Source organism: Homo sapiens, chromosome 2, assembly GCF_000001405.40.
Source record: "Homo sapiens chromosome 2, GRCh38.p14 Primary Assembly".
Lineage (NCBI taxonomy): Eukaryota > Metazoa > Chordata > Mammalia > Primates > Hominidae > Homo > Homo sapiens.
Genome location: NC_000002.12, coordinates 181,246,031 through 181,262,090, shown reverse-complemented (window position 1 = coordinate 181,262,090; position 16,060 = coordinate 181,246,031). Strand labels below are relative to the sequence as shown.

General features: G+C 35.8%; 1 long non-coding RNA gene across 1 annotated transcript in view; it reads right to left on the bottom strand.

Moving 5' to 3' along the window:
* The window catches only part of LINC01934 (long intergenic non-protein coding RNA 1934), a 275,717-nt gene that overhangs the window by 137,463 nt on the left and 122,194 nt on the right, over window positions 1-16,060 (bottom strand). The gene's annotated exons all lie outside the window — the stretch shown is intronic.

Genomic DNA, 16,060 nt, shown 5'->3' with positions numbered 1-16,060 from the left:
AATCTACATTATGGCAGGTATTTTGTATGATAATATTTTTACAGAATAGATAACAAGAGACTATGGCCTCCTGAACAATAGGAACATATTTGATTCTGAGGAGTTTTAAAATAACAAATCAACCTTTCCCTCTTAAAGCTATTACTTGCAGTAAGATTTACAAAAGGCCTTAGGTGGTTTGTTTTATTGCTGTGGTTTTCAGCAAGACATTTTCTTAAAAAGGTCATATTATGATGTGGGTTTATTTTTAAGGAGATAGATACCTCTTTGCTTTTTAATTATAAGATGATGCAATTTTTTCTCCATATTAAATTTAGAAGCTAAAATCATTGACTTAAAATAGATAAAATGTGAACAGAAGCTTGTCTTTCAGGTCATTCCTCTCACATGTCATTAATATCTTAAGCATGAAATTATGGAAATTTGCAGCAAGGCCATTTTCTTTTCTCTCTAGCATCTCAAGCATACTTTTCAATGACCCAAAAGCTAGTTCTATCTATCATGGCTTCACTGGTAAATTCTACCAAAAATTCAAGGAAGAGATAATATCTATTAATATCTATTCTTTGCAAATTACTTCAGAAAATTGAAATTCATTCTGTGAAGCTAAAATTGCCCTGACATCAAAACTGGAAAAGACATTACTAGAAAAGTATAGATCAACATTCCTCATAGACACAGAAATCTTTAAAAATAATACCAAATTTAATTCAACAATATAAAAAAGAATAATATATCATGACCAAGTAAAGGTTATTCCCCAAATGCAAGACTGGTTCAATACTCAAAAGTTAATCAATAAAATTTACTATATTGACATATCAAAGAGAAAAACCACATGATCAACTCAACAGATAGTGAAAAAGTCTAAAAACATATACCATCTGTTTATAATAAAAACCTTTCACAAATTAGAAATAAAAGATATCTCCATCAACCTGATAAAGAATATCTAAAAAGAAACATATACATAACATTGTATTTCATACCAAATGACTGTTTCCCCCTAAAATTAAGAACAAAGCAAAGATATCTACTTTCACAATTTCTATTCAAAATCCCAATACATGTCTTAGCCAGCACAATAAAGTAATAATAAAAGGCACCCAGAATTGAAAGAAATAAATAAAAGTCTCCTTTTTTAGATGACATGATTGTGAACATAAAAAATCTCAAAGAATCTATTAAAAAGCTATTATAATGACTAGGTAGGTTTAGCAAAGCTGTAGGATACAGGTTAAATAGCCCCAAATCAATGACAAGTTTATATACTAGCAATGAGCAACTGGATATTAACATTAAAAGTATAATTTACAATAGCTCCAAAATATGAAATACTTTGATATAAATCTTACAAAATATGTGTAAGAGCTGTATGTTGAAAAGTACAAAGTATTGATGGAAGAAATCAAAGACCTAAATAAATGGAGAGCTATATCATCTTAATAAATTGGAAAGTACAATTTTATTAAGATGAGAATTCTCTCAAAGCTCATCTATAGATATATATAAATATGTGCAAATTAAACAGCATAGGACTAAGTAATCAGTGGGTCAAAGAGGAAATCAGAAAATTAGAAAATACTTTGAGGTAAATGTAAATAAGGACACAATATCCAAAAACTTATGGGATGCAAGTAAAGAAGTACTTCAAGGAAAACTTAGTGTTGACAGATTTTATAATGTGAATATGATCTAATACCATCACAAAGAGATCTGTGACTTTTCGAGCTGTCAGACCACAAGATAGACGTTTAGTGGCAGAGGGACTTGGAGGGAATGGAGCAAAGCAGTGGTTTATTCCAACACAGTGGAACATAGATCTGCTATTGAATAAGCAACAGCTCACTTTTGGCTAACTTTCCTTGAAGTCAATGAGCCACTGTTTTGTTCCTCTTCACTCCTTAATAGTTTAAACATACTTGTTATAGTGAAATCAATAAAAAAGGGTAACTGAATTAATACATGTAATGCATATGTATTATAGTACATATAATTGTAGTACAATGGAGGATTTTTAGAGGATATAACCTCTGTGATGGAAATATCCAGAGGTAAAAATAGTGTAGAAGATATGGAGATGTACTCCCAGGTCTGGTATTTTCAAGATAAGAATATGGTCATATTCAACTAAGGCAAAGACAAAAAAACTTTATGGGTTTTAAAACTTTATACTTTTAAATAAAAATAATATAACTTCAATGACAGAAATAAATGTTTACATGTTGCCAAATCTTATTTTATATTTATATCATTATTTATTTACTATTTTCATCTGAACAAATCATACAATAGAATTTCAAAGATGGAAGAAATCTTAGCTAAATAACTTTTGTCCTTTGTATATGAGGAATCTGAGATTCAGAAAAATAAAACTATTAGCAAAGATTACATAAATAGTTAATGCCAGAATTAAAACTATAATTCAGGTCAACAGATTCTTTAAGAATTTTAAGTTATAGTTTTAAGAATGAATACTGGGTGCCCTTAAAAGTAGAGGAGGAAATGGACAGGATGGGACTGTATAATTACAGTCTATTCATCATTAAAATCTTTTAATTATCAAATATATAAGTTATTTATGGCCAGGTTTACAGAATAAGAAAAGATAAAATTCAATTTTATAATATATCAAATAAAGGTTAAGAAAATTGTTTAAATAAACAAGATTCAATTTATGTTATCCAAATTAATGGCCATGTTCCTGAATAACATCTTCCTTTTTCAATTTTACTATAGCGGTTTAAAATACACAGCCTTCATTTTAGAACATGTATCCAACTTTGAATTTCACATAATCATTAGTGCAGACACCTTCAAGTCAAGCTCACAAATGCCCTTCTAGAAAGACTCCTTGGAGAACTGATAATAGAACAAAGTAACTGAGTCTATTTCTAATGATTTATGTAATTAAAGTTTAACATAATTGGACATGAATTGTTACTGGAGTTTTATTTCTGTATTCTGGAGTACACACGGTGGGAAACTTTTAGTCATAAAGCATCTCTCTCTCAAGGATGTAAATGCCTTTGACATTGCTGGATCATTCTGTCACTGAGGGAATGGGCACCATCTGTCCCTGTTTAGTTGTGTTGAGAATGTTGACCTGACAGCACATAGCAAAACTGGAGAAGCCTGAAAGGGTATCTTCATTCCTTTCTAACCTAGTAATAAGTTATCTGAAGTGTTGCAAAACCATATGAGTTTGTCTGTGAAATGAAGACAGTAGAATTATTGTCAGTCTGGAAATGATTAATTACAGTAGTTTAGAAAGAGAAAAGACTTACAAAGAAGCTATCTGGGTTCAGAACCAATAAACTTTTCCAGCCGTCATATAGGAGTAAAGTGGAGAGATAGAGATTCTTTATTTGCTTACGATCTAATTGAGACTACTGAGTTAAAGACCCGGGTGATATATTAGTATGAAAAGGGACCACATTGACGAGGGTGTGGTATAGTTAGATTAGAACAATAGTATACTTAATTCCCAGTAAACTTGGAAGGATAGGTTTGTAATCATAATTCACCTTTCACTTTAGTATTTTATAGTTATAACCAGAAGACAAGTGGACACAGATGTCAGACAATTAGCAAAGTCTTTATTTCCTCTGACCCATATGTCTAATTTTATAAGTAGTCTATTATCTCTACTTACGTTACATATGTATAGCTAATTAACTCATTATATTTTCCCAGCAACATTCTCTTCCTCCTCCTTCTGTGCCTATACTTTCTATTCATGGAACTAGCATTACCTCAGTTCAAAAGTTTGGAATCACTTAAACACCATCCCTTCCTCCCCCATCAGTTGCTTGTCAATTGATTCTACATGTATAATACATCTCCAAGTCGTTCCCTTCTGTTTGTTTTCAATGCTGCAGCCACAATTCAAGACTTCCTTTTTTACTATGTATTTATTCTTTAAATATTAGCTACCTGGATTCCTATCCTCAATCTCCCTCTACAGTCTGAGTTGTGATTCATTTTCCTAGAGAACAATTCATATTATTATGATCTAAAATCTTTGATTACCCCGAACTATCTATTTAATAAAGCCCAACTGCAAGCAGGCAATCATGATTTCTCATTCAATGGGTTCATGATATTTCCTGCCTCCTCCTTCATGCTCCAAGCCCTGAGTTTCCCTGCCTCTGTACCTTATTTATAAGATTTCCTCTGCCTGCAATGCCCACTCTCTTTCTAATTGTCTTTTAAGATCTAGGTCAAAGCTTATGTCCTCCACAGAACTTTCTGGGTTTACACAGCTATGAACAACTTTTTTACCAGCTTAATGTTCACAGGATGGGGCTTAAAGGTATCTACCTGAGAATATTATGAGGACTAGGCAGTGAAATTGTAGAATTGTTGGCCAAAAGATGTATGTTTGCAGTTCAGACCACCATGTTAGAAAAGAATGATGAGTGGCTAATACAACTCCCTACCCAAAGATACTTTCTCAAGAAGACTCTGGAAAATAGATTGTTGAGTCGTGTCCAACATCTAGAAGTTTGATTAAATCTCTAATAAAAAGCAATACTATTGAACATTTAAGCACAAAAAATATTAAAATGGGGTATCACGTTTTTAAAGGAAATGAATGACTGTATAATCCAATGGCCTTTTTTCGAAAGGATAGATAAGCAGAAATGATGTGGGACCCAATGGATATGATTGTTAGTCTTCTATGGCAAAGGAATGTCCACTCCCTCTCACTCCACCTCCCGCATTCTATTAATACACCAGTCACACGATGTTTTTCATGATTCTCTAAGCTATGTCCTTTCATATTTCCATACTGTACATTTTCTTCTTGGTTCTTTGGACCAAATTAAATATTATTTATTTTTTGAAATCTTCTCTCAAAACAAAGAAATAAATGTACTTTCTTCTTTAATCTCCTGGCATATTGGTCCAGATATCTCAGTTATGATACTCCTCACAATGGTGCCTAATTATTTTTTTTTACAACATCCTTCTACTTATGGGTGAATCCCTGGACTGTTGAACTGAGTTATTATTCAGTCTTTGTATAACTAGAATATTGTAAAGTGCCTAACATATAGTAGATGCTCAATAAATATTGGATAAATGAAAAAATGAATGAAAATATGGCAGGTACTACTAAGTTTTAAAACAAAATGAGGCTTGGATTTTAAATTGTTTGCTCATATTCAGCTAACTTATCAGTAGGAGAGCAAAGATTCATACCCAAGTCCTCTTATTCTAAGATCAATGCTCTTTCTCCAAATAGTCTTACTCAAATGAACTTACAAATCCTTGAATATTCAAATTAGATGACACTCTTGGAGCTTTCACTAGATTGATTTTTTAAAAGCAAGAGATATCTTTGTAGAGAGGTACAAGTATAATAGACTTTAAATTTAAAATTAATTTAAACAATTACATTCATTTATATAACACATCCACAACAGATTACAGTATGCAGGTAAAGCAAAGAAATATATAAACACAATACTTAACTTTGAGAAAGCCGTGCTTACCCATAAATCTTCCCTTCATGTGACTGTCAGACAGGTAATTGGACTCGATGGATCTGGGTCTGAACCAATATTTGATTCAACTACATTTCAGCATGATAAAATGAATGTGGAGTGCCCCGGGTGTTTGTAGTACTAGGGGGATATGAAATGATTAATGCAGCCTGCTAACTATACCAATTTATTATTTTAGTCAGGCAAAAGAGCTATATGACTTGGTTTCAAAACAAATTGATTATTTAGGGTTACCTGAGACTGTTTTAAGTATTTGTAAAGAGAGTAATAGTAGTGAAAACTCACGTGCATATTGTAAACTGATTAACCATGTATCTCATTTCACGACTGATTAAAGCTGTGTCTACAGGCGTGTCTGTTGAGAAATTTCAAAAAACATTTCCAGCTATCAGTGCTATCCTTCTAAATGGCAGTACTATTGGCAGAGATAAGAAAAATTGGTTCTTTGTACCAGAACTGAGATAAAACATTCTAAGTCTGACGAAGATAAACTAAAGGAACCATTTGGCCCCATTCATAAAGGCATGAACCCCTTTACTATTGGATTTTGTAATTTACCATACCATATGGCATTGGCTGTTTTGGAAATGAGAGTTCAGAGTACATGGAACATTGGTGTGATGCATTGTAGCTATGTGTGTTCTTGCCTTATACTCTGCTGAAGCATTCTTTCTCTGTACTAATTTTAAAGAAACATTATGCAATTTGCTGTCAAATTTATACAGAACTGTTGAAGTGTTGTGTCATTTCAGTCAAAATTAGATTGCATAAATTCAGAAACCCTAATCTGAGATCGTTCAATTTCCCAGATTACTAGATTTACATATTAATAACTCCTAGGGTATATTTCTTTTCACCAGCTCTAATTTCAACCAGAATTTATGGGTTGGGCTCTTTTAAAATCCAAATGCAATGGCCAAGTGCTTAAAGCCTGGACAGTTGCCACACTGTCACAGAGCCCCTCAGCAGAAACAAGTCTAGAAAGCTGGGGCTTTTATTTCATTCTGTTTTCTCCCACAGGATGGTTCTTACCACATTAAATAATACATACTCACATACTATATACTACCAGCAATACTCCAATGCCAAATGATGTATAAAAGAGTGTATTTATGGCCTGTTGATTCAAAATGTGTTTGCTTTTCTAGTCACATTCATCTTTATCATGACATATACTTAAACATAAGAAAATCAGAATGTTTCTCCTTGGGTCCAACTTGCCAATTTCTATAATGTCTATGAATTGACAACTTTTTAAAAGTAAAATTTGGTGTGTGGGTGTATGTGTGTTCTGAGCAATGAATTTTGGGTGTTCTGCCTCCTCTCAAACAACAGGATCTCCTGCAGAAGGAAAGAGTTAGTGCAGAAGATTTTGATTCACTGAAAGCATGCTTATTTCCTTGGTATCTGGGAAAGCAAGCATTGTTTGGTGGTATATTCCTCAATTCAATAAAGAGAGTTTTTATTCCCATGTACATATGTAACGGTCAATTAAAGAACTATTCCAAAGGCTGTAGTAGGTTGGGTTTTAATTCCAAACTCTCTTGCCTTTATTTAACAGTAAAACAAATGGGAGTATGTTTCCCATTGAATATCATTTTTCAAAGATGATCTCTGCAATGCATAGTTTACTTAGACAATGTTTAATGTAAAATCAGAGAACAAAGTGTCCAACCAGAATACGGCTGAGCTGAGGGACAGAGCCAGAGGCTAAGGGGACTGAACTGAAAATATTATTCTTCCCAAATTTTTCTACATTAAATTATCTGCATAATTTTAAAATGACTACTCTGTGCAAGGCACAATGAAAGCTGCGACAAGGAATGTCCAGATGTAATATCAGTTCCTACATCTTTATCATAGCAAGGAAGGCTCAGACAGGTTCACAATCATAATACAAGGTAGTAAGTGATTGCAGTAGGATAGGTACAAAGAAGCACTGTAAGTTCAGAGATCAGAGGGAGAATCACATTTATTTAAGAAGATAAGAAAAGGCCTTGTGAAATATAAACATGTAAGATGGACTAACTTTTTAATAGGTTGAGAAAGGGGGTGATTTTCTAGGTAGATGGGAAACAAGAACAACACGTGACCAGGGGACATAGGCATGGGACAATTATGTGGACCATCATATAGCCTAGGTGCACTGGGACCTTAGCATACAAAGAGTATACCAAGGGGAGACACTATTAGGACATTACTTGGTAACAATATTCACAATAGTGAATATCGAAGGAGCTTGAAAGCTCTAAGGATTTTTTTTTTCTTTTTTTACTGTTTCTGTTAATCTTGAGGAAGTTTTCAGTGGGGAGCTGATTCCCATTTATTTTGCTGTTAAACAAAGACAGAAGATTTAGAACTAAACCATAGTTTAAAGCTATAGCCTTCGGAAGGGCTTATTAATGTTAAATGCCTACATGAAGAGATAGATTTGGGGAGTGTATCGGGGTAAATTAGGATTTATCATAGTAAAACAGTATATAATCTGGGTTCCAAATTCATAATAACAATCATAATAATAATATAATCACTATATGTTGAGAACTACTCACTATGTGACAAGTGCTTTACATATATTATTTCATTTCATTCTTAAAACTGCCCTATGAGGTGGATACAAAATATCATTTTATAGATGAAGTAACCAACACTCCAAATCCAAGTAAAATAGCTAAGAAGCCAGGTGAAATGGACCAGACTCCATATCCTTGGCCACTACTCTCTTGCCTCTCGTTTGGTCATGAGATAATTCTTCATCCCCCACAGTTGAGAGCCAGTCAAGCATATTTGTCCAAATAGAGCCTCAGAAGGGCCTCACCAAATCAAATTCTTCCTAATTGTAGAGAAGTCTGCGCTAATTGTCCTCTCTGTCTCCACATCCGGGACTACTTGAGAGGGTTGACTGCACAACATGATGGGTATAGCACGGGCTCTGAGGACAAGCTGCAAGGTGCAAATGCTGACCCAACCACATACCACATGTGTTCTTTATTTCTATGTAAGCACAGTTACTTGCAGAGAGACCTATAGTAGGCCAAAGGCAACACATCTAAAACTATGAGTCTTTTTCATTCTTCTAGCCAGGAGATCATAAATCATTTGCAGAATACAAACTAAAGTCCAGTCCTAATTAGAGAAGAGCAGAAACACGATTATCTTTAAAATCCCACTCTTGCATCATGGAAAACTTTCATCTGTTCCATTTTAAATGACAGAACTGTTCTTTTTGGTGGATGCTCCGCAGTTTTGATAACTAGAGAAGAAGTACACGGTGATGTCAATAAGGTAATGCAATGGAGGGGGAAGGGTGGACTGAAGGCTAGTCCAGCAGCTGAAAACTCATGTGCCCCTATTTTAGATGGCTGTTACATTCTCTGCTTTCAATAGCATTTGAAAGTCACAATGTTGTTCTGATTGCAGTTACAGAGGAGAAATAAATATCAACTTTTTAATTTGTATTCATTTTCCAAAAGTTTCTCAGGAAGTTGCCCTCAAAACCTCAAGTTACTCTGTGTTAGGTACCGTGTAACAGGCTGACTATATGCCCTTTTTGCTCAGACAGATCTGCTCCAGCCCTGTCCTTCCTCTGCCCAGCATTACAGGAAACCACACTTCCCAGGCTCCCTTGCCCTCTAGCACGGAGGTAGGCTCAGCCAATGGGAGGCAACGATGGAAGACTGATGAGCAGGCTACAGAGCAAGGACAGGGTATTTTTCCCTTCTCTGTGTCTCCAGAAGCATCTTGTGCTGGTGACCATAGCACCAGCTTCTGGGCTCTGGTAACACCACATCACATATTCTGTGGGCCTCTAGTCCTAGGTGTATGGTGATTTCCTGCTGTTGCCAATCTCTGGGTTTGTTCACCATCTCCTGTTTGGCTCCTTGGCTCTTACATCACCTGTGTAAACAGTGTCCAGCATTAAAGTCGCTCTGATTGAAATGTTCACATTGAATATTTCCCACCTGGACTCTGACTGATACACTAAACAATGATTTAACCCAAATGCTGTTGGGTAGGGTTTTCTTGCCTGAGTGTTAAGCAAGCACTTTGTTTTCCAAAATTTCCTGCCTTTCATGCTGCATCTACAACTTATTTCAGTGCCTCCTTTCAGTATTTCAGTGGTTTCGCAGTATCATTAGATTTTGCAGAAGTACTAGTGACTCATCCTTCTCTTTTTCTAATATGTGACTTCTCAGAGTACCATTGGCAAGTAATCCAAAAGTGAACCCACTATCTTAATATCTGACAATATCTTATTGTGGAATCCTTCCCAGAATTATTTGCTTCAAATTATCATTTTCCTCTGTCTTCATCTATTTTTGCTGCTATAGAAGACCTACAACTGGGTAATTTATAAAAAACAGAAATTGGCCTGGCGTGGTGGCTCACACCTATAATCCCAGCACTTTGGGAGGCCGAGGCGGGCGGATCACGAGGTCAGGAGATGGAGACCATCCTGGCTAACACAGTGAAACCCTGCCTCTACTGAAAATACAAACATATTAGACGGGCGTGGTGGCGGGTGCCTGTAGTCCCAGCTACTCCGGAGGCTGAGGCAGGAGATGGCGTAAACCCGGGAGGCGGAGCTTGCAGTGAGCGGAGATCGCGCCACTACACTCCAGCCTGGGCAACAGAGAGAGACTCGATCTCAAAAAAAAAAAAAAAAAACCAGAAATTAGTTGGCTCACATTTCTGGAGGCTGGAAAGTCCAAGATCAAGGGGTCAGCAGCTGAACAATTGCCTTTTTGCTGTATAATTCCATGGCAGAAGGCAGAAAGGCAAAAGAGAGCAAGAGGAAACTGACCTTGCTCTTTTTTTAAGAGGGATGGGTCTCACTATGTTGCCCAGGCTGGAACTCCTGGCCTCAAGCGATCCTCCCATGTCAGTCTCCTAAGTAGCTGGGATCACAGGCGTGAGCCACCATGCCTGACTTAAGCTCATCCTCATGAGCTTCATGGCTCATGATGCCTCATGGCATCAATCCTACCCATGAGGGTGGAATCTTTGTGGCCTAACCACCTCCTAATACTGTTAAGGTAAAGGTCTCACCTCTTAATACTGTTACAAAAGCAATTAAATTTCAATATGAGTTTTGGAGAAGACAAACATGCAAATGATAGCATCCCCCAAAGTCAGAAGCCTTCCAGCTTAGCCTATATTTTTTCAGTGAATTTTTGCCATCTTTACTGTTCTCAAAATGCTACAGTATAATTCTAATCCACTCTCATCATTATTCTTATAAGAAATCAGTTGCCACCAATAGTTAATCTTCATAATGTTCCCTGCATTCCTCTCTTCATTCAGCATTACTGCCAACCTCAGGCCCACTTCACCTTCCCTGGATGATTTTGTGAGGATTGCCTGGACCTGTTTGTCTGCCTCTAAGTTTTCCCAACTCTCATTGACCCCATCTAAAGTTTAATCAGCCTTAATATCATTTGCATAGTTCTTGATCTTAAGCTTTGTTTGTCTCATATCGCTTGCTTATAGGAGAGTTCAAATTTAGATTGGCATTTAAGATCCTGACAGTCAGTCAAAATATACATTCCCAATGGTAGTTATCACTCCTTCCTAACATGTAAAGCCTCTCATCTGGTCATCTGAATATCAGGAGTTAGGCTATTTATGGTTTACTTCTCTGGAAGATGATCGCCAAAGCCATCATTGAGCAATACAGTTGACTGTATTCATTGAGCAATACAGTTGACTTTTGAGTTCTCACACTGTACTCAATGTTTACAAGTTCTAAAGGTAGTTCAAATGTTTTGTTAATTTAGTATCTAGTCCTGGCCTTTATTGAATCTTTTGGGCTTCTGAATGAATCAGATGAAGAAGGAGGCATGCATATAGGGTATTGGTTTGGGTTAGAAGAATCCATGGCAAACATAATAAAGCCTTCTAATTCCCTTCTCACATATTCAGTCTATATATCCCTTGTATTCTGGATATCAGTTAGGCTCCTAGAGGATTTTTGGGCTAGGAGATAGATAACCTACAGCAAATTAGATCCCTTCTGAAAAACAACTTAGGACTGTAACAATTCCATAAACTACTTTAGGAAAAAGCAAAGTCTTGGAGATGAGAGGAGGCCCATGGGTGGGGGTTGGGGGGCAGAGCTGGAGCTGGATTGAGCTTGCTTGAGTGACCTCTGGCCAGGCCACTGCTCTGATATTCAGAACCGTTAAATATTGGGCTTCAGTCTTACTGATATCTACAAGAACTTTCTAAAGGACAAGTAAGCCAGCTGTTGCTATTTATGAGACTTCGATAAAACAATCAAGAAAGAAAATATGAACCTGAACAGTTTAATATTACCCATAAATATTCTGCTAATTTACCTCAGCTAATGAGAGCTTCCAAAATAGTTCCTAAATCTTTTGCTGAACATCTGTGCTCAATGTGGGTAGTTATACTACCAAATAATCTCAGTTTTTGCTAATTTATTGCCATGAGTTAAGGTGCTAAAATTACAGAACATAATTAGTTATATGAAAATATATTACGTTTTATTTATTATGGTCTTTTTTGGTAAAACTCAATAAGTATTAGTTTAAAAAATCTTTTAGATAAAAATATCACAGAAATCCTTATAGATGAGGATAACATGAATTACTTGCTTAACTGATGGCATCTCAAGTTGGCATAGCTAATTTTGATTCTCTTTAGGTGAAGATATTCTTTGGCATTCATCATCTTTTCTCCCTTCTAGCTCAGTTTGGTCTGCTCCTTTATTTTCCAAAACTGAGCCAGGAGGATCATCCACAGCAGGGAATGGGCCTATATATCAAGCAATTAGATCGTTTACTCTGTTTGTAACCTCAAAGCTGAAAGATTATAAACTTCTTTGGTTCTTACAGATGATTTTACAATACACCACCCAAATCATTGGTCCCTGCACTATCTCCCTTGTATATTTGGAGGACATGAAGAGTGAGAGTGACAAAAGTAGCCAATGCAATGACTTTGACTCTTTGTGGTGCAGAAGATCACTAGAGAAGACTCTGCAAAATCCATGGCCCCCAAGTCCCTCCAATAACTATAAATATTTAATCTTCTTTTGAAGTCACACACCACAGATAGTTCTTAAGAGAAAAGATTAAGTTCAAAAGGAATACATAATACATACATACATGCATACGTAATTACAGGAGAAAATGAATCAATTGATTAGTTTGGTATTATTTTTATAAATCTAGGCCTAAAAGAATAAGTATTGACTGGGGGGAAACCCAGTAATTTTGAGGACAATAATGAAATTTTGATATAATCAAAGAGATAAAGGAAAAAGGAGAAGCAAAGATAAATTTGATAGCCAACTTCTATATTTTTTTCCATCATTAAAATGACTGAAAAAGTCACATTAAAGTCTGGGAACTTAATCATTATAGCAAAGAAAAAAAAAAACCCACAAACTCTGAAATCAGGAGAAAAGAAATCCTGAAATTAATACATGTACAAATAAAATGTATATTCTCTGGATAATATAAGGCAAAAAACCTCACCTTCTTTGGTTTGATTCTCAAATACTGAAGTCACAAATATTTTTCTAGCTTTTTTATCTAGATAAGCCTTGACATTTCATTCTACTTTGCAATTTTTAAATTGCATTTTGTTTCTAACAGAACTGGATGATGAGGAAGATGGAGATAGAGGTAATTATTTCCATTCTCCAAATGAATGAATGTTAACAAATTCTATGGAGAAAAATAGAATTGTCTTTTGTTTTTTTAAAAGTTTCTCTTGATTTAATATTAAATTTTAATATACTATGAAGAAAATGCCAATCAGAAATCATCTGAGGAAAATTCATGAAAAGATCCAAAAAATGCTGATAAATAAAAGCAGTGGGGGAAATAGTTCAAATAGATATTAACATATTTCAAAGCTAGCTTTTAAAAATATATTTTTGAACTAGTAAAGGAATAAACAGATATATCAATGGAACATGAAACAAAGATCAGAAAAAAGACAAGCAATAAGAATTTAATATATGGTAAAGTAACACTTCAAATCAGTGAGGAAAAAATGGATTATTCAACAAAATATGTTGAGCTCAAGGGTTGGTTATTAAATATATGTATACATGTATGTGTATGTATGTATACACATACATATGTATATGTAGCTACAAAATGCCTCCAGGTAAAGTTTTTAAAAGCCATAAAAATATTTGGAGAAAATGGATGTAAATATAATGTTTTCTTGATGAGGGAAAGGACTCTTTAAGATTTACAAAATTTAGACACCATAAAGTATGTAATTGGTAGATTTGACAATATGAAAATGTAAAACTTGTCTACATCAAGGAACATCATACATTTTTTTAAAAAAGGAAAAACAGGGACATAAACATTTGCAACATACATAACAGATATCATTTCTGTCTAATTTGAACATCTGAATCTATATGTACATATATATTTATAAAACAAACAATGTCTGGGGAATATTGACACAATGTATCTTTGCCCTATAGGGCAATCTCTGGTTCGTAGTTGCCTTGAGGCACCCATTCTACCTCGCCAAGACTAGTCAATTAAGTTCAGGGGGTTTCTTCCATGCCTTGACACTTACTGTCCCTAGGAACAGAATATGACATAAAGGAGATCAAATCCGACCAGAAGAGAAAGAAGAAAATCTGCCAATTCTATCCTAGTAGAGTGTGGAAAAGGGAAAAGTGGGGAAATAAAACGTCAGGTAAAATTATCTTAGCTCTTCACTCCTGAACCAAAATCCCAGATAGGAGTGGGGTTTTAGAAAGGTGGAGAGAAAAGCCACAGCAGAAGAGTCTTGTGCCTCACCCTCAATTTGAAACTCTGAAACAGAGATGAAGGAGTAATAGTGGTCACCTGAAGTGATAGAAAGAGAAAGAGCCCTGAGCTAAGAGCCTTCCCTTGACTCTGGTTTGAGGCTGAGAAGTTTCCAAGCCTGAAGATTGGAGGGATTAAGCCAGAGCTAAATGGACAGCGACAGGGCTCCAGATGAGATGCAACTGAGGCAGGTAAGGGGGCTCCAGGCTCTGAACAAGACAAGAGACCAGCTACAGCTTCAGTAGAAGCTTCCAAGAGTGTCAAAGAGCCAGATAGGCGATAAACCTGGCAGATGATTACACAGACGCCTTTGTACCATTTATCCACATACTCCCCTCCCACTACATGGAATCACATAAGTACTCACCACCAACACAAAAATATAATCAGATATCACTTGAAGGAGCAGGGAGAGGGAAAGTATATCTTCAGCCTGAGCATTTACTTGAGATTAAGTTATCTGGGGAACAAAAGTCGTTAAAACTAAAAATATCTGAGATACTTTCATCGATAAGTTTAAGTTCTTCCTCACTGCTACCTCCACCAACTGCCTTCTCCAGATAGGGGCTCATGAGAAAAACTGGACTAGTTGCAGAAAATTAATAAGCAAAATTTCCTTTCTTTCTGGATAGCAGTAAGGAAATTTGTGATTCTTTTACATATACAAAAAGCTCTTTAAAAACAACCAAAAAAGGCCGGGTGCAGTGGCTCACACCTGTAATCCTAGCACTTTGGGAGGCTGAGGCAGGCGGATCATGAGGTCAGGAGTTCGAGACGAGCCTGACCAACATGGTGAAACCCCCTCTCTACTAAAACTACAAAAATTAGCCAGGCATGGTGGCACGCGCCTATAGTCCCAGCTACTCGGGAGGCTGAGGCAGGAGAGTCACTTGAACCTGGGAGGCGGAGGTTGCAGTGAGCGGAGGTCACCACCACTGTATTCCAACCTGGGTGACAGAGTGAGACTCCATTTCAAAAAAAAAAAAAAAAAAAAAAGGCTACGCACACACAAATTCAAAACCTTCCATAATAAAAATCATTCAGCTTCACTAATATTAAAAGGATAGTCATGAAAGGAACATGCTTTTTTGTATACCAAACTATTAAACATTTTTAAAAATATTCTGTTGGTGAGGATACAGAGATGCTGACTGATATAAACAGGTAAATGTTTCTGGGGCAATTTAGCAACACATTTTAGAAGCTTTGAAATTCCTTTTGTGATATTTGTCCCGAGGAAAGAATTAAGGAGTCATATGACCATGTTGCTATGAGATCTTCTTTCCCCATCATTGATAACATTGAAAACATGAAAATACAAAGTGATTGGTAAAACATAGCTCTCTTATAAATAGGATAATAAAAATTTAAACACCTTGGAAGTACAGCTGTTGACAAGGGGAAGAGTTTCACAATGTATTGCTATGGAGAGCTGGCTACAAAACAATATGGATTCCAAAAAAAAAACATTTAAAATCATATCTCTATAGATTTAGGTAATGCGAAATGGGGTACCAATTGAATTAGACTTTTTTATGTAATAGAGAAGTGATATTTAAAATTCAGTAGCAGGCCAGGCATGGTGGCTCATGCCTGTCATCCCACCACTTTGGGAGGCCAAGGCAGACAGATCACTTGAGGTGAGGAGTGCGATACCAGCCTGGCCAACATGGTGAAATCCTGTCTCTACAAAAAAAAAAAAAAAAAAAAAAAAAAAAATTAGCTGGGCCTGGTGGC